This window comes from Homo sapiens, chromosome 4, assembly GCF_000001405.40.
Source record: "Homo sapiens chromosome 4, GRCh38.p14 Primary Assembly".
In the NCBI taxonomy this organism is placed as follows: Eukaryota; Metazoa; Chordata; class Mammalia; order Primates; family Hominidae; genus Homo; species Homo sapiens.
The window spans coordinates 90,230,424-90,254,210 of NC_000004.12; the positions used below are offsets into that span (position 1 = coordinate 90,230,424).

The following is a 23,787-nucleotide window of genomic DNA, read 5'->3' on the forward strand; positions in this document are numbered from 1 at the left end:
GAGAACAAAGACACAACATACCAGAATCTCTGGGATGCATTCAAAGCAGTGTGTAGAGGGAAATTTATAGCACTAAATGCCCACAAGAGGAAGCAGGAAAGATCCAAAATTGACACCCTAACATCACAATTAAAAGAACCAGAAAAGCAAGAGCAAACACATTCAAAAGCTAGCAGAAGGCAAGAAATAACTAAAATCAGAGCAGAACTGAAGGAAATAGAGACACAAAAAACCCTTCAAAAAATTAATGAATCCAGGAGCTGGTTTTTTGAAAGGATCAACAAAATTGATAGACCGCTAGCAAGACTAATAAAGAAAAAAAGAGAGAAGAATCAAATAGACGCAATAAAAAATGATAAAGGGGATATCACCACCAATCCCACAGAAATACAAACTACCATCAGAGAATACTACAAACACCTCTACGCAAATAAACCAGAAAATCTAGAAGAAATGGATAAATTCCTTGACACATACACTCTCCCAAGACTAAACCAGGAAGAAGTTGAATCTCTGAATAGACCAATAACAGGATCTGAAATTGTGGCAATAAACAATACCTTACCAACCAAAAAGAGTCCAGGAACAGATGGATTCACAGCTGAATTCTACCAGAGGTACAAGGAGGAACTGATACCATTCCTTCTGAAACTATTCCAATCAACAGAAAAAGAGGGAATCCTCCCTAACTCATTTTATGAGGCCAGCATCATCCTGATAGCAAAGCCGGGCAGAGACACAACCAAAAAAGACAATTTTAGACCAATATCCTTGATGAACATTGATGCAAAAATCCTCAATAAAATACTGGCAAACTGAATCCAACAGCACATCAAAAAGCTTATCCACCATGATCAAGTGGGTTCATCCCTGGGATGCAAGGATGGTTCAATATACGCAAATCAATAAATGTAATCCAGCATATAAACAGAACCAAAGACAAAAACCACATGATTATCTCAATAGATGCGGAAAAGGCCTTTGACAAAATTCAACAACCCTTCATGCTAAAAACTCTCAATAAATTAGGTATTGATGGGACGTATCTCAAAATAATAAGAGCTATCTATGACAAACCCACAGCCAATATCATACTGAATGGGCAAAAACTGGAAGCATTCCCTTTGAAAACTGGCACAAGACAGGGATGCCCTCTCTCACGACTCCTATTCAACATAGTGTTGGAAGTTCTGGCCAGGGCAATCAGGCAGGAGAAGGAAATAAAGGGTATTCAATTAGGAAAAGAGGAAGTCAAATTGTCCCTGTTTGCAGATGACATGATTGTATGTCTAGAAAACTCCATTGTCTTAGCCCAAAATCTCCTTAAGCTGCTAAGCAACTTCAGCAAAGTCTCAGGATACAAAATCAATGTACAAAAATCACAAGCATTCTTATACACCAACAACAGACAAACAGAGAGCCAAATCATGAGTGAACTCCCATTCACAATTGCTTCAAAGAGAATAAAATACCTAGGAATCCAACTTACAAGGGATGTGAAGGACCTCTTCAAGGAGAACTACAAACCACTGCTCAAGGAAATAAAAGAGGATACAAACAAATGGAAGAACATTCCATGCTCATGGGTAGGAAGAATCAATATCTTGAAAATGGCCATTCTGCCCAAGGTAATTTATAGATTCAATGCCATCCCCATCAAGCTACCACTGACTTTCTTCACAGAATTGGAAAAAACTACTTTAAAGTTCCTATGAAACCAAAAAAGAGCCCACATCGCCAAGTCAATCCTAATCCAAAAGAACAAAGCTGGAGGCATCACACTACCTGACTTCAAACTATACTACAAGGCTACAGTAACCAAAACAGCATGGTACCGGTACCAAAACAGAGATGTAGATCAATGGAACAGAACAGAGCCCTCAGAAATAATGCCGCATATCTACAACTATCTGATCTTTGACAAACCTGACAAAAACAAGCAATGGGGAAAGGATTCCCTATTTAATAAATGGTGCTAGGAAAACTGGCTAGCCATATGTAGAAAGCTGAAACTGGATCCCTTCCTTACACCTTATACAGAAATCAATTCAAGATGGATTAAAGACTTAAATGTTAGACCTAAAACCATAAAAACCCTAGAAGAAAACCTAGGCAGTACCATTCAGGACATAGGCATGGGCAAGGACTTCATGTCTAAAACACCAAAAGCAATGGCAAGAAAAGCCAAAATTGACAAATGGGATCTAATTAAACTAAAGAGCTTCTGCACAGCAAAAGAAACTACCATCAGAGTGAACAGGCAACCTACAAAATGGGAGAAAATTTTCACAACCTACTCATCTGACAAAGGGCTAATATCCAGAATCTACAATGAACTCAAACAAATTTACAAGAAAAAAACAAACAACCCCATCAAAAAGTGGGTGAAGGACATGAACAGACACTTCTCAAAAGAAGACATTTATGCAGCCAAAAACCACATGAAAAAATGCTCACCATCACTGGCCATCAGAGAAATGCAAATCAAAACCACAATGAGATACCATCTCACACCAGTTAGAATGGCAATCATTAAAAAGTCAGGAAACAACAGGTGCTGGAGAGGATGTGGAGAAATAGGAACACTTTGACACTGTTGGTGGGACTGTAAGCTAGTTCAACCATTGTGGAAGTCAGTGTGGCGATTCCTCAGGGATCTAGAACTAGAAATACCATTTGACCCAGCCATCCCATTACTGGGTATATACCCAAAGGACTATAAATCATGCTGCTATAAAGAGACATGACACGTATGTTTATTGCGGCATTATTCACAATAGCAAAGACTTGGAACCAACCCAAATGTCCAACAATGATAGACTGGATTAAGAAAATGTGGCACATATACACCATGGAATACTATGCAGCCATAAAAAATGATGAGTTCATGTCCTTTGTAGGGACACGGATGAAATTGGAAATCATCATTCTCAGTAAACTATCACAAGAACAAAAAACCCAACACCGCATATTCTCACTCATAGGTGGGAATTGAACAATGAGAACACATGGACACAGGAAGGGGAACATCACACTCTGGGGACTGTTGTGGGGTGGGGAAAGTGGGGAGGGATAGCATGGGGAGATATACCTAACGCTAGATGATGAGTTAGTGGGTGCAGCACACCAGCATGGCACATGTATACATATGTAACTAACCTGCACATTGTGCACATGTACCCTAAAACTTAAAGTATAATAATAATAAATTAAAAAAAAAAAACAAAACAAACTGGCCTTATGAACCTTAGACCAATCTTGAGGGTATAAAAGCCTTCGCAGTGAAGTGGCCATAAAAAAAAAAAAAAGAGAAAATTATTATAGAAAAAGCAGTAGAAATCATGGTGCTGTTTATTATCATTTGAAAAGTATTTTTTTATTTTGTTCTATTAATATGTTTCAATATGAATGATGCACTGAGATCTTGGATAATTAGCACATAACAACATAAATAATAAAAATCATTTATTGGACACAATTAAATTATGCCTTTCTTACATACGTTGTTTCTATTAAAATGTGCTGAAATTTACTTCTTAATCTTGAGATGTAATAAAGTGTTTTAAGGTTACTTTTAAAAATAAACATTTAAAAAATGTTGTGCTTATATGATATCAATGGAAAACAAATACTTTTGAGGTTTGAAATTTTAAATCCGAAAATAATAATATTAGGCAGCCTTTGTATTTCCAGACCTCTTGTATTTATACAGGGGGATCTAGGGCAAAAATAATTGCTGAAATTTAACATTTATCTGGGTGGGCCTCTGCGTACCTCAGCCTCTCTTATTCTTTTTTTTTTTTTTCTTTTGAGATGGTGTCTCGCTCTTGTCACCCAGGCTGGAGTGTGATGGCATGATCTCAGCTCACTGCAAAGTTTTGCTCCCTAGCTCAAGCAATTCTCCTACCTCAGCCTCCCAAATAGCTGGGATTACAGGTGCCCGCCACCACGCCCAGCTAATTTTTGTATTTTTAGTAGAGATGAGGTTTCACTACGTTGGCCAGGCTGGTCTTGGCCTCCTGACCTCAGATGATCCGCCCGCCTTGGCCTCCCAAAGTGCTAGGATTACAGGCTTGAGCGACTGCGCCTGGCCCAACCTTTCTTATTCTTTTGAAAATGCTTCTGGAGTCCATTGATACATTCTGTGAGACCTGGTGGGAAGAAATAGGCCTCAAGGCACACTGAGTTTTTGAGTTGCCCTCTACATTTTTCAAGCTGATCATTATTGAGTCCCTATTATCTGACAGATACTCTGCTAAGTTATTTATTTAAATTATCTCATTAAACATTATCACAATCATATTAGATGGGGACTGTTATTATTTCCATCTTATACACAATAAATTTGAGGCATAGAGAGGTTAAATTTGAGCAGTGTCACTGTAACTCACTTTTAAAAACTGTGTGATAATTAAATGGCAGTCCTTAGTTTTAACCCAGTTATGGCTGGCTGTAAGTTCCATCCCGTCATGACCATTATGTTTCCTCAACTTTTCTATTTTCCTACTTCCTTTGCTCTGCTCTCAGTCACTGGGAGACGAAAGTGCTGCTGGTTAGCACAGAAGAAACTGCTGCTGCTGCGGCTTCTACTGTTGTCTGCCATCTCTGTTACCATCGAGACCGGGGCTGTGTATGCTCGAGGTGCAGGGAGCTAATGTATAAGGAGTTAAATGAACTCTTGCTGCTGCCAAATATGTTGTTATCACTAACTGCACCGCTGCTGTCATTAGTGCTGCTGCCAACACTGCAAGCCCTGCTGCTGCCAGTGCCAATTCTGCTGATGCCTTGGGCTCTCCATGTCCCAGGGTGATTCCATAGACAAGCAGCTGCTTTTAGATTTCACTTGCTCATTACCTGTAGATCCTTTGCCTTAGGACTCAAGCTTAAGCCCATGAAGCCTGGGATAGAAGACAATTGGAGGTATGTTTTATCTTCTCTAGCATCTGGGACAACTGGCCTTGAACCAAACATGTGCACCTCGTTTTTCTTTTCCCTTCTTCCTCTGAGATTTCTTTTCCCATAGGCTCTTATTTCATGCAATGATCCACTAGCCCTGGAAACAGGAACATAAACACTCGAACCCTAGAATGAACATAATTTAGTCTTAACTACATTAGATATTTTAGTTTGAAAGAAATCACTCACATTTCATAATCCTGAAACATATAAATTTATACTTAGTTATCTGTGCAAAAATTGAATCATGATAATTATTAAAGAATTACTATGCAAGTGTAAATAGCTTTGGTATTAACCAAGAGTGGTTTCAGTGTGCTTTTGTAAAAAAAAAAATACTAGAGTTCAAAAATTCAGGTCTATATTTGAAGCTCTGTCAATAATTCATATACCTCATATCAAAAAGCTTACCAAGGGACAAGATGATTTTGTTAGTGGGAGTGGTTTACTTTTTACTTTTGCTTCCAACCCTAACTCAGAAGAAGGGCAATAGTCTATCAAACCTGGAAAATAAGAAAACAGCATTCAAATTTACAAAGCTCTATTTACTAAAAACATGCAAAATAAGTAATTTTTTTTTGAGAGAGTGTCTCATTGTGTCTCCCAGGCTGGAATGCAGTGGCATGATCATGGCTTACTGCAGCCTTGACCTCCCAGGCTCAAGACATCCTCCCACCTTAGTGCCCCCAAGTAGCTGGGACTTCAGATGCATGCCACGATGCTTGGCTAATTTTTAATTTTTTGTAGAGATGTTGCTCACGCTGCTCTTGAACTCTTGAGCTCAAGCAGTCCTCCCGCTGTGGCCTCGCAAAATGTTGGGATGACAGCCGTAAGCCACTGCGCCTGGCTAAAATAAAGAATTTTTAACTGGAGGAAAAGAATCTTATGTTGTTGAATTCTTTATTGTCTTAACTGAAAGCAAAAGCCTGTTTGAACTTTTTTCTTAATCGAGAAAAGCATATGAGGAGAAAAGAGCTCTAAGTTCTATGCCAGATGCTTACAAAACAAATTGTTTACCAGTAGTTTAGTGGGACAGGGGGTGGGGGTAAAAGAAAAAGTTGTATTAAAATCTTGATGAAGATATTCTGCATCAAGGACTATTTTATTTTTCTTAAGGGCGAAACAATCTGTTTTCTTATTTGAGGCCAGTGAAAGTTTATATTTCTATTCCACCTGGGATAATAACAATTGAGAGTTTTGTGTTTTATTTTCCCTAATTGAGAATATGGGGATTGGTAAATAATATGGTAAGTAATTTGCATTTAGAATAAGGTGAGGTTCTTGGTTTTCCAAATTATTGATTTGTGGAGTGAATTTGCATCTAGGACTCTAATTTTTTTTTTCAGTAAATTTCATGAGAAATGTTATTGTTTTTAGGAATGTAATTTTATTAAAAAATTTGCGGGAATTTTGGGATGTATTTATATTTAAAGTTATCATAACATGTTAGATGTTGTCATACTGTGTGTGTATATGTGTATCCTATATGTGTGTATGTGTGTATATTTAGCACGCATTTTTCTTTTTATTTGATTAGGTTTTCTTAATTTTAAAGTTGGAATGAAAGAAAAATGTGTTAGTATATGATTCATAAAAAACAAACCAGTGATGGTACTGTGTTTAAACATCTCAATATGGATATGGGTTTTGTTATATTTTGCGAGCTACATGCCAGAGTATATTGTAAAGAAGTCTATTTATAGGTAAAATAAAGATGAGAAAGCAGTGCAGAGAGAAATCAAATATAATTGTCTTACATTTCTGATTCTCCTTCATTTTTAGTTTTTAATGGGAATTTCTGTCTTTTATCTGCATGAAGATGCTAATGTTCTCTTAATGTACTTAAAATTGTAGAGTAAGAATTTCGAAATTTGTAGGAAGACAAATGGCATTTATAAATATTAGAGTTTATGAGTACTTAATATCCCCTCTGTCATCTGCATTTAATGTTTTCGTTTCCTTTTAACAGTATGTGTAAGAACTTTCTGTGCTGTGCTTAGAGTTTTTTTCCTAGATAAATGTTTTTCTTATGCTGTAAACCTGTTTAAGGAGATGAGATTTGAAAGTAGTTGAATTCAGAGCTCTTACTTGAGCAGAGTGTTTCTCAATAGCTTTTCCAAGAAAATTTTAAAAGATTAAAATCAATTTTAATCTTTGTCGTATAGGCCACAGAAACTTCCATTCATACATCCTTAGAAAATTAAAACAAGGCAAAATAACAATTTGGGAAATAATCAATTAAAACCATAACTATATGGGAAGTCTTTGGAAATGGAAGGCCCACAACCTACCTATATATGAAGCCAGTGTTGTCTGAACTGAATTCTACCGTAGGGTGGACTTTTTCTTAACGTCTGAATTTATGAACCTGTGAAAGAGGAACGTTAAATTGAAAATAACGACAACATCTTAATTATGGTGATTTTACTGAAAGACTACTACCATAATAAGATGTATTCTAGGTTTCCAGAGTAGTGGCAGCTGTCAAACACCAACATTTCTCCCTGAGAATAGGTTTAGTGTAGTGTGTTTTTCAAGGACAAGTTGCTCAGTGAGCCCTGCTAGTTAATATTCAACAGTTTTCTTAATCAAAATTGTGGTCTTGCTCCCTAGAGTGTTTGTGAAAATGATTGTATGTTTATCCGAGCCTTCAACAGCAGAAAGAGAATTCTTGGGCTAGGTGCTGGTAATGAGAACCTATATTAATCCCAGGGTGCTGATAAGAAAAGGAAAATCCTGTCAGAATACATTGTTTGTAAAAAAATGATTACTGTAGCTCAAAAAGTCAAACCTTTTTTTTGAAGCCCTTGTACCTTATATAACTTCAGTTGTTTATCTGGGATAATGGGGAGGTAGGGGTATGGTGATGTCCAGCAATCCACTCCAGGAATGGTATTTTAGTGATCGAGTAGTCTGGGGTTCTGTTAATCATTGCTTCTGTTGCATACCTTATTAAGGGTCCTCACATGATTCCTTTAGATTACAAGAAGGTCTTAATGAAGTAAAGCTTGTGAGGTATTAGAGAGCTCAGTCTGGCATTGTACAAATGGTATTGAAGACTCACATAGGAAAAACAAGCTTGCCAAATAAAATAATGCAACAGCTAACATTTTCTATGAAATATTTTGCTTAGGATGCAGGTTTTGTTAGTGCTTTTGTTTTTAACCCTAAACTGTTTTCTACTGTCAGGTGATACTGCCCTTGAAACAGAGCTGTCCTGGTTGAATGTGACTTTTTTCTGCCGTGGGTACCTATCACTTCCTTCTCACACCCCCTCAACTCGTGCGCACATACACACACATACATCTGAAAGAATCAAGATGAACAGTTTGAACAATATGATCTCTGTAATACTATAAAGAACATTTACTTTTGGATTTTGTTTTGTTTTGTCTGTAATGGAGCTCTATAGGAATTAAATCTTCTGAAAACAGTCTTTTTAAAATATTAGCTTGGTGGATTTCTTCTAGCATTAATTTTTTTTTTTTTGAGACAGAGTCTCACTTTGTTGCCCAGGCTGCAGTGCAATGGCATGATCTCGGCTCATTGCAATCTCCATCTCCCAGGTTCAAGCGATTCTCCTTCCTCAGCCTTCTGAGTAGCTGGGATTACAGGCATCTGCCACCACACCCAGCTAATTTTTGTATTTTTAGTAGAGACGGGGTTTTACCATGTTGGCCAGGCTGGTTCCGAACTCCTGACCGCAGGTGATCCGCCTGCCTGGGCCTCCCAAAGTGTTGGGACAGGTGTGAGCCACCGTGCCCAGCCAGAAAGTTTTAGTCAATAACAAAAACACATTTTTTGAGTAGTTGTTTAACATGATTAAAAGCACACTTGGACTTTAATTAGGAAACAATAAACATACATCCCATAGGAGTTAATCTTTGTAAACAACACCAATTTTGAAGGCTACAGTCAGTTATATTGATCACTTCAGTGATACTGAGACATATACTGCACTTTATGCATTGATCTTTGACATAGAAAGATCAGCACGTTAATGTAAAAAATTGCCACTATGTATTTGAAATTTAAGCCCTACTATTAGCTAATATTCAAAATAACTCATTTACTTGATACTGTAATGTGTAGTCAACTGATTTTTCCTTTTAAATAGATTGATCTGTTATATATATATTAGAGGCAGAGTCTCACTCTGTCACTTAGGCTGGAGAGCAGTGGTACAATTATGGTTCACTGCAGCTTCCAACTCCTGGGCACAAACAGTCCTCCTGCCTTAGCCACCACTATGCTCAGCTAATTATTTTTAATTTTTTTTTGTAAATGTGGGCTCTTGCATTGTTGCTCAGTCTAATCTCGAACGCCTGGTCTCAAGTGACTCCTGCTTCAGCCTCCCAAAGTACTGGGATTATAGGCACGATCCTGCACCTGCCCCAATTCTGTATTTTTATTTGTTCTTAGTTGTAGCTTGTAATTATTTCCAAATGTGAATCATAATCAGATTGATTCAATACCAAGTTTTAGAAGAATTGTGTATCAACTAGTCCACTTTGAAGAGGAAAACCACATAGTAGGTTAAACTAGTGAGTTTAATTTAAAAATATTATTAAAGTATGACAAAAGAGTAACTTCTCTCTAAGATATAGAGAAACCTAAGTGGTACCCTGAAGCTAAAGGAGTGTAACCAAAGAATGACAAACTTGGAAGAGGATCAGATCTTAAAGAGAAGGTGTAATTCATCTCACTGGAGAGCAGAGAAGTTTTCGAGTTTGGCTGAGCATCCAGAGATGGCCCATAGTCATGGGGCAAGCTGGCGGCCAGTAGAATAGTCGGCATGGATAACCAAACCAGTGGCTATGTTTCAGAGGACATGAGCACCCTCCAGGGAAGAGTATGGGGCCTGTAGTGGACTCAGTAGGACTCAGGAGGACTGCCAGAGGGGAGGGGGCTTCAGGTAGATGGCCCATAGCCCTACAGAGGGAATTCTGACTCTGATGGGCATTTCTTTCTGGAGAAGGCCTTGGGAAGATTGTCTCTAGCTTGAGACTGCAAGATTGGCAAGCAACCACACGTTCTTATACCCTGCATGGCTTGGCAGGGCTACACTGAATGTCCTCACACCTCTACCCAAATCACTGACTCCTGTGTCACCAGAAGTCATGGAAGAGCCCCTTCCTCCTGCAGTGTCCCTCCAGCTTCCTCTACTGGGAACACTCAGCATCACACCCATTGTAAAGAAGAAATACTTAAAAGAATTCTATCTATGATCATAGGACATATATTTGTGGAAAAGTGCATTTGGAGCTGGGAGGCAATTAATTCATAACTAGCACACATTGCCTTACATTTAGGTGCTGGTTATAGCTAATATTGTGGCAAAAATGACAACTCTAAATGCCGTAAGAATGTCATGTTGCTTTCAGGTGCCCAATTTTAGCCCCTTGGACTTGTCCATCTGGATTAGTCACATTATCCTAGTTTTCAGTAGCTGATCTTAGGCCTGTGCTTATTTTTCACCATATCCTTCAAAGACACCACCTATAGCTCTCTGCAGTGGGAATGAAAGCCTGTCTACATATACCACTGTAAATATGCTCAAATTCTTTGAGTGTTTGAGCAGCTTTAGTCAAAGGAATTCATGGTGTATCAATAGACTCTATTCTAATTAAAACCATTTAAATCACTTTTATAAGCAAGTGAGGAAACTGTTTAGCCCCAGAGTGTGCACTAGTAATAGCACATAGTTCATTTCACAAAGCTAAAGAGCAATATTGATGATAGGGCACTAAGGAGCATGCGAGTGCATAGATCAATTTGTTACTAGTCAGTCATTGTTTTTCTCTGTTATTAGTACAACCACTATTGTGGTTTAGGTGAGAAAATGTTATTAGTGACTGCTTTCTGGTGCTTTATAGGTGCTATCATTTACTTTCATGTTCATATACTGTTGTAATCATGTATGAATGAGTTGCCAACTATTATATATTATGTATACGTAAGAGACAGGTAAAGAGGTGCATGCCGGTATCAAATATGATATTTACAAAGATACATATTAATAATTCCTAGATAATGGTGGTTTATTATGAACGACAGTAACAGCTAGATGGTAAATCATTCACAATATTTATGTCTATTGTTGCTTTAACATAGGAATTACCAATGGCAATCACATTTTATTTTCCTAGCAGCCAGAACACTTTTGTTATACATCATTTATTCTTTCTTAAAAGAAAAAAAATCCTTTCTAGAAACACTGTTATTCCTTTGACAATTTGCTTTGGATTTGTAATCTTTCCTTAGGGTGTTATTTTTTTTTCTTTAGGGAAAAGAAGGAAAGGGATACACGTGGTTAAAAAAATGCCAACATGAATAAATCCAACAGATAAATTGTTAGCAATTACATTTTTAAGAGTGTTGCAGGAGCATTAACATTGAGAAACTAATACTTAAGTACAAATGGTTTAATTGTAATATGGAAAATAGGTGATGCTATAAAAACTATTATGATTCATATCTATAAAATTAGTAATGGAATGATTATAGGACAAGAAATATGCTTTGGTATGAAATTGTATTCTAAGAATCTTCTATCATCAAATCTAGTTAGTTAAATCTACTAACCCTGAATTTAAGATCTGTGAATGAATTTACCTTTATCTACCATGAAAATAACAAAGCATAGGCTGGGCGCAGTGGCTCCCACCTATAATCCCAGCACTTTTGGAAGCCGAGGTGGGCAGATCACTTGAGGTCAGGAGTTCAAGACCAGCCTGGCCAACATGGTGAAATCCGGTCTTACTAAAAATAAAAAAAATTAGCTGGGCATGGTGGTGCATGCCTGTAATCCCAGTTACTTGGGAGGTTGAGGCAGGAGAATCATCTGAGCATGGGAGACGGAGCTTGCAGTGAGCCGAGATTGTGCCAGTGCACTCTAGCCTGGGCTACAGAGCAAGACTCCGTCTCAAAAAGAAAAGAAAAGAAAAGAACAAAGCATAAATGTAGTGGACCTAGGAGTACTCTTAGGCACTATTCCCAATGTTAAGGAACTTAAAATCTGTAGCTTTTAAACTGTTGATATTTTTTATACTATAGTACGAAGAAATGTACAAAATAATTGAGTCAAAAGTATACAATTTATTTAGAACAAAAAAGCATATGAAAAGGATGATGATAATAAATGAGTGTATTGAAGAGATAATAAAATGATGGACAAGAACATGAACCTAGTGAACAATGTAGTAAGCTATCAGTTAGCAGATAACCACAAAATGCATCATTTCCATGGCTCTGTGAAAACTAAGCTTACAAAAATGATTTTTCCCCTTTGGTTATAAGGATAACAATTAATTATAGAGCACGTTTATTGAGTGTCCACTAGGTATGTGACTGATATGCACACAATTAGTTGTTTTTACTGATCGTTTCACTAAGATACAAATTATTCAGGACCTGTTGTAAGTTTTAAATACAAGTTCAAACACCACAAGGGACTTGCACAAGGTCATACAGCCAAAAGTAATGAACAGAGATACAAATCTTAGATTGCACATCCTCAAAGCCCAGGCCCTTTCTACTACATAGTGTGGCTTCTAAAAATTAAAAATAGTGAAACTGCTTGGTTCTTGATGTGCTGGGGACTTGATAATTTCATAAATTCCATGTGGAATTTAAAGACTGAATATTCAGCTAGTTGATCTCTCTCTCTTTTCTCTCTCTCTCTTTTTTTTTTTTTTTTTTTAAAATAGGATCTTGGTCTCTTGTCCAGGCTGAAGTGTAGTGGTGTGGTCATAGCTCACTGCAGCTTCAAACTCCTGGGCTGAAGTAATCCTTCTGCCTCAGCCTCCCAAGCAGCTAGGACTACAAGTGCACATCACTATGCCAGTCCTGTTTTTATTTACTTATTTATTTATTTACTATTTTTTTGAGATGGAGTCTCGCTCTGTTGCCCAGGCTGGAATGCAGTGGGACAATCTAGACTCACTGCAACCTCCGTCTCCCGGGTTCAAGCAATTCTCCTGCTTCAGCCTCCTGAGTAGCTGGGATTACAGGAGCGTGCCACCATGCTCAGCTAATTTTTGTATTTTTAGTAGAGATGGGGTTTCACCATGTTGGTCAGGCTGGTCTTGAACTCCTGACCTCATGATTCACCTGCCTCAGCCTCCCAGAGTGTTGGGATTACAGGTGTGAGCCACTGCTCCCGGCCATGTTTTTATTTTTTATTTTGGGGAGGTGGGGGGTCTTGCTTTGTTGCCCAGGCTAGTCTTGAACTCCTGGCCTCAAACAATCCTACAGTCTCAACCTCCCAAAGCGCTGGGGTTACAGACATGTGCCACCATATCAGCCCTCAGCTGGTAATTTCCATTACATATATAGTCACTTGACTTTCATTATGTTTTTCCCTAAAGTGCATACACAGGTGAAAACGAAAATGTGACATAAATAAGCAGGGTGAATATATTATAATTTTTTAAAAAATTATTACTTCTCTTACAAGTGGGAACCTTTTTTTTTTTCGCTGTTGTAGCATTCACTGGTATTTTCCTGTTAACCTCTTGGTACACATAACAAAAATTAAGTGTGTTTATTTCAACGTTATGACTTATTTATAGATTCTTATTAAACTTTGCTTCTTAACTAGAATAGAAATGAAAATAATTATCACAATAGTGAATAATCCCTTTTGTTTTCTGTTATCTCATTATACCAATGAATATTTTGAGTATTTTGAGGATTATTTATCATACTTTTCCAATTAGAAAACGAGTTTCTTAAAGATTGTATTATTTTCTCTTAATGAGAGAGGCTGCACACAGAGGTTATTTAACAGATATTGTAGGTTAAACATCTGACTATTGTGAGTGGAGAGAAAATTATGAGATAGAGTTTTGCTAAATGTAACAAGTAAGATGCTTAATGGACTCATGGAGTTTCTAAACTTGGCAAGATGAGTCTGTTTTAATAGGCAAATTTACCAGTTTAGAATAAGAAATATTACATTCTCATCAGTAAGTGCCCTGACAAATGGTCCAGCATTAGAAACATTTATCAATTGTTTTAATAAGGAACTGTTGTGATATTATCAGGCAGAGGTTAAATGCTTTGCTAGAAAGACCTATGTATTAGTCTGTTCTCACAATGCCATAAAAAAATACCTGAGACTGGGTAATTTATAAAGGAAAGAGGTTTAATTGACTCACAGCTCCACATGGCTGGGGAGGCCTCAGGAAACTTATAATTATGGCAGAAGGGGAAGGGGAAGCAAGGACCTTCTTCACGTGGTGGCAGGAGAGAGAAGTGAGGATGCAGGAAAAGCTGCCATTTATAAAACCATCAGATCTCATGAGAGTTCACTCACTATTATGAGAACAGCATGGGGAAACCGCCCCCATAATCCAGTCACTTCCTACCAGGTCTCTCCTTCAACACCTGGGGATTACAATTCAGAATGAGATTTGCGTGGGGACACAAAGCCTAACCATATCAGTCTAAAAATGTATATGTCATAAAAATTGCTTAGAAATATGTTTAGAGGTATCATAGACAGGTGAATAGAAAATGAGCTTTAGAGTCACACGACCTTGGTTTGAATTCCAGCTCTGTCATTAGCTCTGTGAATTTAGCCACAGAGTAATCTCATTAAGATGTTTCTTCACTTACAAAATAAAAATAATACTATCTCTTCATGTAAGGTTTTTATGAGGATTAACTGTAGTAATGAATAAAAAAGTAACTGGCATCAAAACGATGCACAACAAATGTAGCTTCTTTTAATTTGAAATATTAAAGTGATATATTTGATGCTGATTATTGTATGTACTGGAGATTATATTTTTCTGAATTTTTAGAAAGAAAAATCAAGGGAATTTTAAACATCATGAAAGGCCTACTTGTTCACACAGTTTTTAAATTGTGAATGACATTTAAAAAATAATTTTCATTATGTTTTTAGGCTAAATATGTCCAATGCTTTATAGCTCTTGAAAAAATTTAGCCTGATTTTTGTTGCTGTTCTTTTGTGGTGTAATTAGTGTCCTCAGCTGAAACAAGGTGCTGGTAGCTGACCCCTTCTCTAAGGTCATGGTAGGATCTTTAGGCTTCCTTCTTATAAGTCACAGAGGTCAGGAAAAAGACATTATTGTTGGGTTGGACTTATCGCATGCTCTTATAACAGCCCATTGTTAGTGTAGAATTAACTACAGAGTTTTTATTTCTTATGTCTTGTAAAAATCAGAGCACTTTTGTAAAAATGACGATTGAACATCAAGGTAACCTTTATGTTATATTTCCAAATGGGTACATGGATCTATATATGAAGAATTTTTAGTTGAAACAGTTTATAGTGTTTCTGTTTTTGGCTCTATAACTGACTTCCTTCAGACCAACTTCATATACTCTCTCCTTCACCTTCTGGTGTTTGTGAAACAAAGGGTGAAAAGGACAAGTGCAGTGATGATTTTTAGCTCAAAATGTTGGGCTTTTCTATCTAATTTAGTTGTCCAAGAACACATTATAAAATATTTGCAACCACAAGGAATCTAATAGCCTAAGAAAAGTGAAAAAAAAGCAGCCTTTTGTGTGTTTGTTTTCTCCTTAGGGAATAACTATAAATGGAAATTAGAGATAAGATAGTTAATATTGTTCTGTAAATATTCAGTCATCCTGAAATAGTCACGCCTGTCATAGGAGGGAGAATTATTATTTACTAGGATTACAAGCCAGTTGATCAACTGACATCCTGTGGCTAATTGTGGATTGGTATTTCAAAGATAATGTAGTCTTTATTAAGCATCTGCAATTTTATAGTTACATTTCACACATTACCATTTTGATTTTTAGCAACATTTTGTCCTTAAAAATAATGTGTATGTGTGTGTGTGTATTCCTCATTTTACACATGAGGTAATTAAGGTTCAGACAAGTCAAACTTTTTTCAAGGTCGTACAGTTAAAAAGTGGCAAAATCAAATTTCAACCCTGTTTGGTTTGATTGGTTTGTTAACATGTGCCTTTGTTTCTGTACTTATCATTTTTAGTGCCTTGCTGACTAAAATACAAAGTTTACTCATTTTTATACAATTCCTCTTATTTTTAGGAGATACAAATAAAAACACTGTAGTTAATTCTCAACTAACAATGGACTACTATAAGAGCATGTAGTAAACCCAGTCCAACAAGAATGGCTTTTGTCGGAACTCTTTTTCTCCTGTTCTCAGTAAAAATTTATTGCTTGAAATGTTTATTGAGTCTCTGCTGGTGCTTGGTATTCTATTTCACTGCTGGGTACAGCAATGAAAACAGATGGATGCAATCCCTGCTTTCATAAAGCATACTTTCTAATTCCCAACATATGTACCTATGATAAAGTTTAATATATAAATTAGGCCCAGTAAGAGATTAACAATAACTAATAATAAAATAGAACAATTATAACATCTATGTAAGAAGTTATGTGAATGTGGTCTATTTCTTTCTTTCAAAATATCTTATTGTACTGTTGATCTTAGCTAACCTCACTATAGGGTTTTTTTTTCTTTCTTTATTAGGTTGAGAACTTTCACCTTTTCACTTAAAGGAAACACTTTGCGGCTTCTCTTTGACATATCCAAATGGCCAGCATCACGGGGGCCATTATTAAGTAAAAAAAAGGTTCTTTGAACACAAGCACAGTTGATATGATAACCTACTCAGCTACAAAATGACTAAAGGGCAGGTAGCGCCTACAGCATGAATCTGTTGGACAAAGGGATGATTCACATGAGGAACAAAGCAGGATACTGTGAGATTTCATCATGCTCCTCAGAATGGCATATAATTTAAAACTAATGAATTGTTTATTTATGGAATATTCAAGTTAATATTTTTAGATTGCCATTGGCAGCGAGTGACTGAAACTGTGGAAAGCAAAACTGCAGCTCCATCCCATAGCAAACATTAGGCATAAAATCTTTATCAAATTCTTATCTCGTACAGAGTTGAGGACAGGTAAAAGGGAACTTGTCGTAGTTGTTGATACATCCTGGTTGCTATGTGAATAATAATTCACAACAATATCGGAATAATATAGATAGAAAATATAACAAGAAAATATATTGAAGAAAACTTGTTGTGAGAAATGCAGTGAATATTAAAGTGACTGACTTTTCACACCATCAGATTTTATTTTAAAGCATAATTTTCCATAGAATTAAACTAATCAGTTAATGTAAACATGGGATTTTTAGTTTGAAAACTGAGAAAGTATTACAGATCATTTAAAATTAGTACTGCTACTTTGAATTTGGAAAACATGTTTCTATACCAAGAGAGAATGGAAGCGACCATCTTAGTATAATGTAAATCCAGACTAAACGTATAATTAGGAATATATAATAAATTACGTATTTATAGGGAGATATCTGGGCTATTAAATGAATTCTACAGTTATTTTAATATATAGTCAGTTTTATATATATTATATATGAATTCCTCCTTTGCACTTCTTTTATTTTTAGACTAGCTGGTTCTTATTTATGGTTTTTTTTGAAAAAAGCATTTTTGATCTGATCTTTAGAATGAAGCAATTTCCCAACCTGTAGTGAAAGATATTATTTACCATAAATTTTCCAGTATTGCCAATATATCTTTTTTGGGTCAAAAAATACGACAGAGACAAAATTTAAAAATTATTTCAGCTGTCTACATTCATTAAATAAAATACTGGCAGGAGTTGTATATTATATTAGTTTGAATAAGTTGGGCAAATATATTTAGCTATTTCTTTGATTAGATTTATAGGTTTCAAAGTTCTATATATGCATGTGTTGAAAATAAAACACATGGTAAATTGGTAAAGGACTTTAGAAACAAGTACATATAACACTGGCAGAAGGACCTTGTCTCTCTTGCATACCATTGTTTTCCTAGGGCGTGTCACACAACAGGTCCTTAATAAATATGTATTGAATGAATGTATTAAATTATAAAAGTAATGATGAAAAGCTGGACATAAAAAATTTCTGATGATAACTTCACATGCATTAGCAGGTTCTTAATGTCACTTGACTGTATTCCTTGCTTCTGGCTTCCTAAGTGGGTTTTGCTTTGCTGGTCCTGTACTACAGACCCTGCCTCTGAATCATGACACATTTTGTCAGTAATGTACACATCAGTATGTAGAGAGCTTCAAAAGCTTGGGCACTTAACACTAACCTTCTGCTCAGGTCCTTAGGTAAATGTTGGGTATGCGCCACCATTAAATACCCTGTAACTCTCCGATGCTACTTCTCTGCTACATCTTGTATTCTACCAAGGTCTAGAGGAGGGTGGATTTAAATGATCAATTTTCTTAGCATTGACTGATTTATGTGTAGAATTTTAGATTTTTTTTTTTTTTTGAGACGGTTTCTCACTCTGTTGCCCAGGCTGGAGTGCAGTGGTGTGATCACCGTTCACTGAAGCCTCGACCTTCTAGGCTTAAGCGATCCTCCCACTTCACCCTTTCAAGTAGCTGGGACCACAGGTGCACGCCATCACAGTCAGCTAATTTTTGTGTTTTTTTTGTAGAGACAGGGTTTCACCATGTTGCCCAGGCTGATCTCAAACTCCTAATCTCAGACGATCCGCCTTGGCTTCCTAGAAGTGCTGGGATTACATGCATGAGCCACAATGCCTGGCCAGAATTTTTAAAATCTTAATTATTTTTGTTGAGTCATAGACTGCAGTAGCAAATGTCTAGATTATAATTACAGGAAAATAAAATCATTTGTGGCAAAGACATGGCATACTTCTTTTTAATTCCTCAAATAGTACTGTATTCCACAGCCCTACTCGTATATAACCCACCAGACAAGAAAGCTGATCTGTGTAACAACTTGAACTTCTTACTTGCCATGTTTAAAAAGGGAAGACCATCGACTAGAGACAGGGGTGGCTACCTTTAGAGATTACTAATTTTGTCAATGCAAAGCTTGCTAGGATAACAGTTGATAATATCAAATTGCTTATTAATAGTTTTATCAGGATGTAATTTACATGTTAAACAAGTCAACCATTTAAAGTATACAGTTCAATGATTTTTTAGTATATTCACAGAATTGTGCAACTCAGAGTAAATTTTAAACCATTTTCATTACCCCCAAAAGAAATGCAATTCTTATTAGCAATCACCCACAATATTCTCCACTCTCTCCCAGCCCTGAGCAACTACTAATATATTTTCTGTCTCTATAGATTTACTTATTCTGAACACTTCATATAAATAGAACATACAATATGTGGTCTTTTGTGACTGGCTCCTTTCACTTAGCATAATGTTTTCAAGGTGCATCCATGTTGTAGCATGTATCAGTACTTTATTCCTTTTATTGCTGAATAATATTCCATTGTATGGATCTACCACATGTATTTTTTTATTGATCCATTGATGAACATTTGAGTTATTTTCACTTTTTGGTTATTATGAATAATGCTGCTATGAACATTCATGCGCAACTGCCAACATGTTTTTCAACACACTTGCACCATTTTATATTTCCATCAGCAATGCAGGACGATTCCAGTTTCTCTACCATCTGGAGAACACTTATTAATATCAATCTCCATTATTATAACCATCCTAGTGGGCATAAAGTGGTGCCTCATTGTGGGTTTGATTTGCATTTCCTTAATGGCTAATTATGTTGAGCATCTTTTCATGTCCTTGGGGTCATTTATATATCTTCTTTGCATAAATATCGATTTAGATTCTTTGCCTTTTTTAAAAAAATTGGGTTGTATTTTTGAGTTGAGAGGTCCTTAAAATATTATAGATAATTTGTTATTAGATCTATGGTTTGCGAATATTTTCTTCCATTCTCTGGGCTTTTACCTTCCTGATGGTATCTTTTGCAGAACAAAGTTGGTAATTTTGATGAAGTCTAATTTATTTATATGCTTACTTTTGCTTATACATTTGGCATTGTATCTAAGAAGGTTTTGTTTAACTCAAAGTTGTTAAGATTTACTCCCATTTTCTTCTAAGACTTTTATAGCTTTAGCACTTACATTTGGGCTTAAGATCTATTTTGATTCACTTTTTGTGTAGAGTGCAGGAAAAGAAGTTAAACTTCATTGTTTTGTCCCTGGGTCTGGGACCATCTGATGAAAAGACAATTCTTTCCTCCATTGATTTTCCCTCTCACCCTTGTTAAAAATCACCTGACCAAAAATATAAGGGCTATCTGTACTCTTGGTTCTGTTCCACTGCTTTATATATCTGTCCTTATGCCAGTATCACAGTGTCATGATTACTGTAGTTTGGTAGTAAGTTTTGAAATTGGAAACTGTGTGTTCACTAACTTTGTTCCCTTTTTCAAAATTGTTTTGGCTATTGTGGCTTCATTTTCATATGAAATTTAGCAGCAGCTTATCAATTTCTGCAATTTTAAAAAGGCAGTTGGGATTTTGACAAGGATTGTGTTGAATCTGTATCAGTTTGGGGTGATTTGTCATCTTTGTAATAACACGTGTTCTAATCAATGACCATCAAATGTCTTCAATTTCTTTCAATAATGTTCTGTCATTTTCAGAGTACAAGTATTGCACTTTTTATTAAACTTATTCCTAGAGATTTTTTCTTGTGAATGCTACTGTAAATGGAGGACTATTTTCTTAACTCATTTTTAGATTATTTTCTACTGTATAGAGATACAATTGATTTTGGTGTATTCATCTTGTATCTGTCAACCTTATCAAACTTGTTTATTAGTTGCAATAGTTTATTTTTGTTTGTGTATGTGTATGTGTGTTCCTTAGGAATTATTAAAAATATAAGATCATAAGATCATTCCCTTTGCAAATAGAGGTACATTTATTTCTTTTTTTCTAATCTGGATTCCTTTATTTTATTTAAGTGTTATAAATTTTTACTTTTTGCCTACTTGTGCTGGCTAGAATGTTCGGTATAATAATGAATAAATATGATGATATTGAACAGTCTTATTTTTTTCTAATTTTAGATGTGAAAGCATTTGGATTTTTACCAGTAGGTATAATGATAGCCAGGGATTTTTCTACACATCCTTATCAGGTTGAGGAGATGTTCTTACTAGTTTGCTGAGAGTTTTTATCATGAAAGTTGTGTTGGAATTTGTCCCATGCTGTTTCTGCATCTATAACAGAAACATGTGCTTTTTGTTCTTTAGTCGATTGATATGGTATATTATATTGATTAATTTTTGGACATTAAACCAGCATTAGATTTCTGGAAAAATTCCACTTCCTCATGGTGTATGACCTTTTTATTATGTTGCTGGATGTTTGCTAGTATTTTGTTGAGGATTTTATATATAAAATAATAAAAGACATTGTTCTTTTCTTTATTATAGGTGTATTTAGAGTTTTCTATTTACTCTGAGTCAATTTTGGTAGTTTACATCTTTTTAGGAATTTCTCCATTTCTTCTAAGTTATGATCTGTTGGAATGCAGTTGTTCATAGTATTCCTTTTAATTCTTTTATTTCTGTGAGGTTTGTAGTGATCTTTTATTATTTCAAAAATAATTTGAGTCTTTTCTCATTTTTCTTGCTTGTTCTTTTTAAAGGTTTGATTTTGTTGATTTACTGTATTGTTTTTCTATGTTTTATTTCAGCCGTTTGTGCTGTAATCTTTATTATTTTCTTAATTCTGCTGGCTTTTAAGTTTCATTTGGTCTTCTTTGGTCAGTGTCTTAAGGTGAAAGATAATGTTATTGATGTGAGATGCTTCTTTTTAAATACAGGTTGAGTATCCCGTATCTGAAATGCATGGAATTAGAAGTGCTTTGGATTTCAGATTTTTTTTAGAATTTGGAATTCTTGAATTATACAGGTTGAGCAACCCAAATCCAAAAATTTGAAATCCAAAAGTGCTCCGATGAGCATTTCTTTTGAGCATCATGTTTTTGCATAAAAACTTTCAGATTCTGGAGCATATTGTATTTTCAGATTTGAGATGCTCAACCTATATATGTTTATGGATAGTTATAGCTCTAAGCATTGCTTAAGTTGCATCTCACAAGTTTTATTTTCTTCTTCATTAATCTCAAAGTATTTCCAATTTCTCTTTTGATTTATTTTTCTTTTTTAACACATTGGTAATATAAGAACGTGTTTTTTACTATTTATATATTTGTAAATTTTCCAATTTTTTATTTTAAGATTTTTAATTTTTGTGGGTACATATATTTAAGGGATACATGAGGTATTTTGACACAGGCATGTAATTCATAATAATCACATCATGGAAAATGGTACATCTATCCTCTCAAGCATTTATCCTTTGTGTTACAAAAATCCACTTATATTATTTTAGTTATTTTTAAATGTTCAATTAAATTATTATTGATTATAGTGCCCCTGTTGTGTTATCAAATACTAGGCCAATTTTCCAAATTAAAAAAATTAATTTTTAATGTTATTCCTTTGTGGCTGGAGAACATATTTTTGTATTATTTCATTTTTTCAATTGTTCAATGTGTCTATTTCTACTAACTTTTAAATTTTCATAATATATTTTGTCTGATATTAATATAGCCATTTTTGCATTCCTGTCATTTTTATTTTTATGGTATAGTTTTACTTTCTTCGTTTTTGCATCTTGGAATCTAAAATGTGGCTCCTGTAGAAGGCATACTTTGAATTTTGTTGTTTTTATTTAGTCTGACAATCTCTTTTTGATTGGATTATTTAATACATTCATGTTTCATATAATTGGTGATATGGTTGGATTTGTCATTTAACTTTTTGTTTGGTGTCATTTTTTCTCCACTACAGCTTTTTTCCCAGCCAATTCCTTTGTGCTATTATAAATATGTTACATTTCTATATGTCATAGGCCCAACAATATAATTATGTACATATTATTGTAAAAAATAGCTTTTAAAATCAGTTAAGAAAAGGAATGGAAAGAAATGTGCAATTGTATGTCATACTTTCTAATATGATTACCTTTACTGAAATTTTAATTTTTAGTGGGTTTCAAATTATTGTTGGGTGTCACTTGCTTTCAGCTTGAAGAATTTTTTTAGTATTTCTTGAGAAGTAGATGTGCTAGCAATGAATTCTGTTTTTGTTAATTAAAGAATGTTTTTATTCAACAACATTTTTGAAAGATTGTTTCAATATGAAATACTTGATTGAGATTTTTTTCCTTTCAACTTTGAATATGTGATCCCACTGCCTTATATTCTACATTATTTTTGGTGAAAACTCAGCTGTTATTGTTATTGGGGTTCCTTAATATGTGACAAACCATTTTTCTCTTGATGCTTTCAAGATTTTCCTTAGTCTTATTGTTGTTGTTCACTTGTTTATCTGTTTAGTGACTTTGCTCAACAACTTTGGTGAAGTCCATTTCCCCAATGGGATTCAATCTCTGATATTGTTCCTAAGAGGCACAACCGTGGGCATGCACACACTCTGGTCTTTGTTCTCCATCAACTTCTCAAGAGATGACAGTGGATTTTAGTTAGTCTCTTTTTGATTGTCTCTTTCTTTCTTCTCCCTATTAAATTTCTAGCTAGTCTGCATCTACTGGTATCATATCCATCTGTTAGCCTTCACTAATTGCTAGCTGATTGCTCCATTGTTTTTGACAATACCTAGTGCATAGATTGCTCTACAGTCTGATCCAATTAAATTTAGGCACCTTTGCAGAGGTATTTTTTGAAATGAGACTTTGAGACTTATTCCTACCCTGGGAATGCTCTTTAGTTGTGTCTTTTCCTGGTTTTATCTGTTAAACTCTAGCTTGCTTACTGTTATATTTCTTGCTTTCATGAAGCTATCTGTCTCCTCTTAAATTTCTCACCATCAAAATCTTTGTTCTTTACAACAGTGTCCCAAGACTTGAACTTCCCATGCCCTGTCCCAAA

General features: G+C 35.4%; 1 protein-coding gene across 37 annotated transcripts in view; it reads left to right on the forward strand.

Annotated features, from left to right (window-relative positions):
- CCSER1 (coiled-coil serine rich protein 1) overlaps window positions 1–23,787 on the forward strand; it is a 1,477,902-nt gene that overhangs the window by 103,030 nt on the left and 1,351,085 nt on the right. For 2 of the 37 annotated variants that reach the window (XM_011531937.3, NM_207491.2), the window contains exon 1: window positions 4,608–4,920. The exons of the other annotated variants lie outside the window; for them this stretch is intronic. The gene's annotated coding sequence lies outside the window, so the exon portion shown is untranslated. Of the gene's footprint in view, window positions 1–4,607; window positions 4,921–23,787 lie in introns of those variants that run through there. 37 annotated transcript variants of the gene reach the window in all.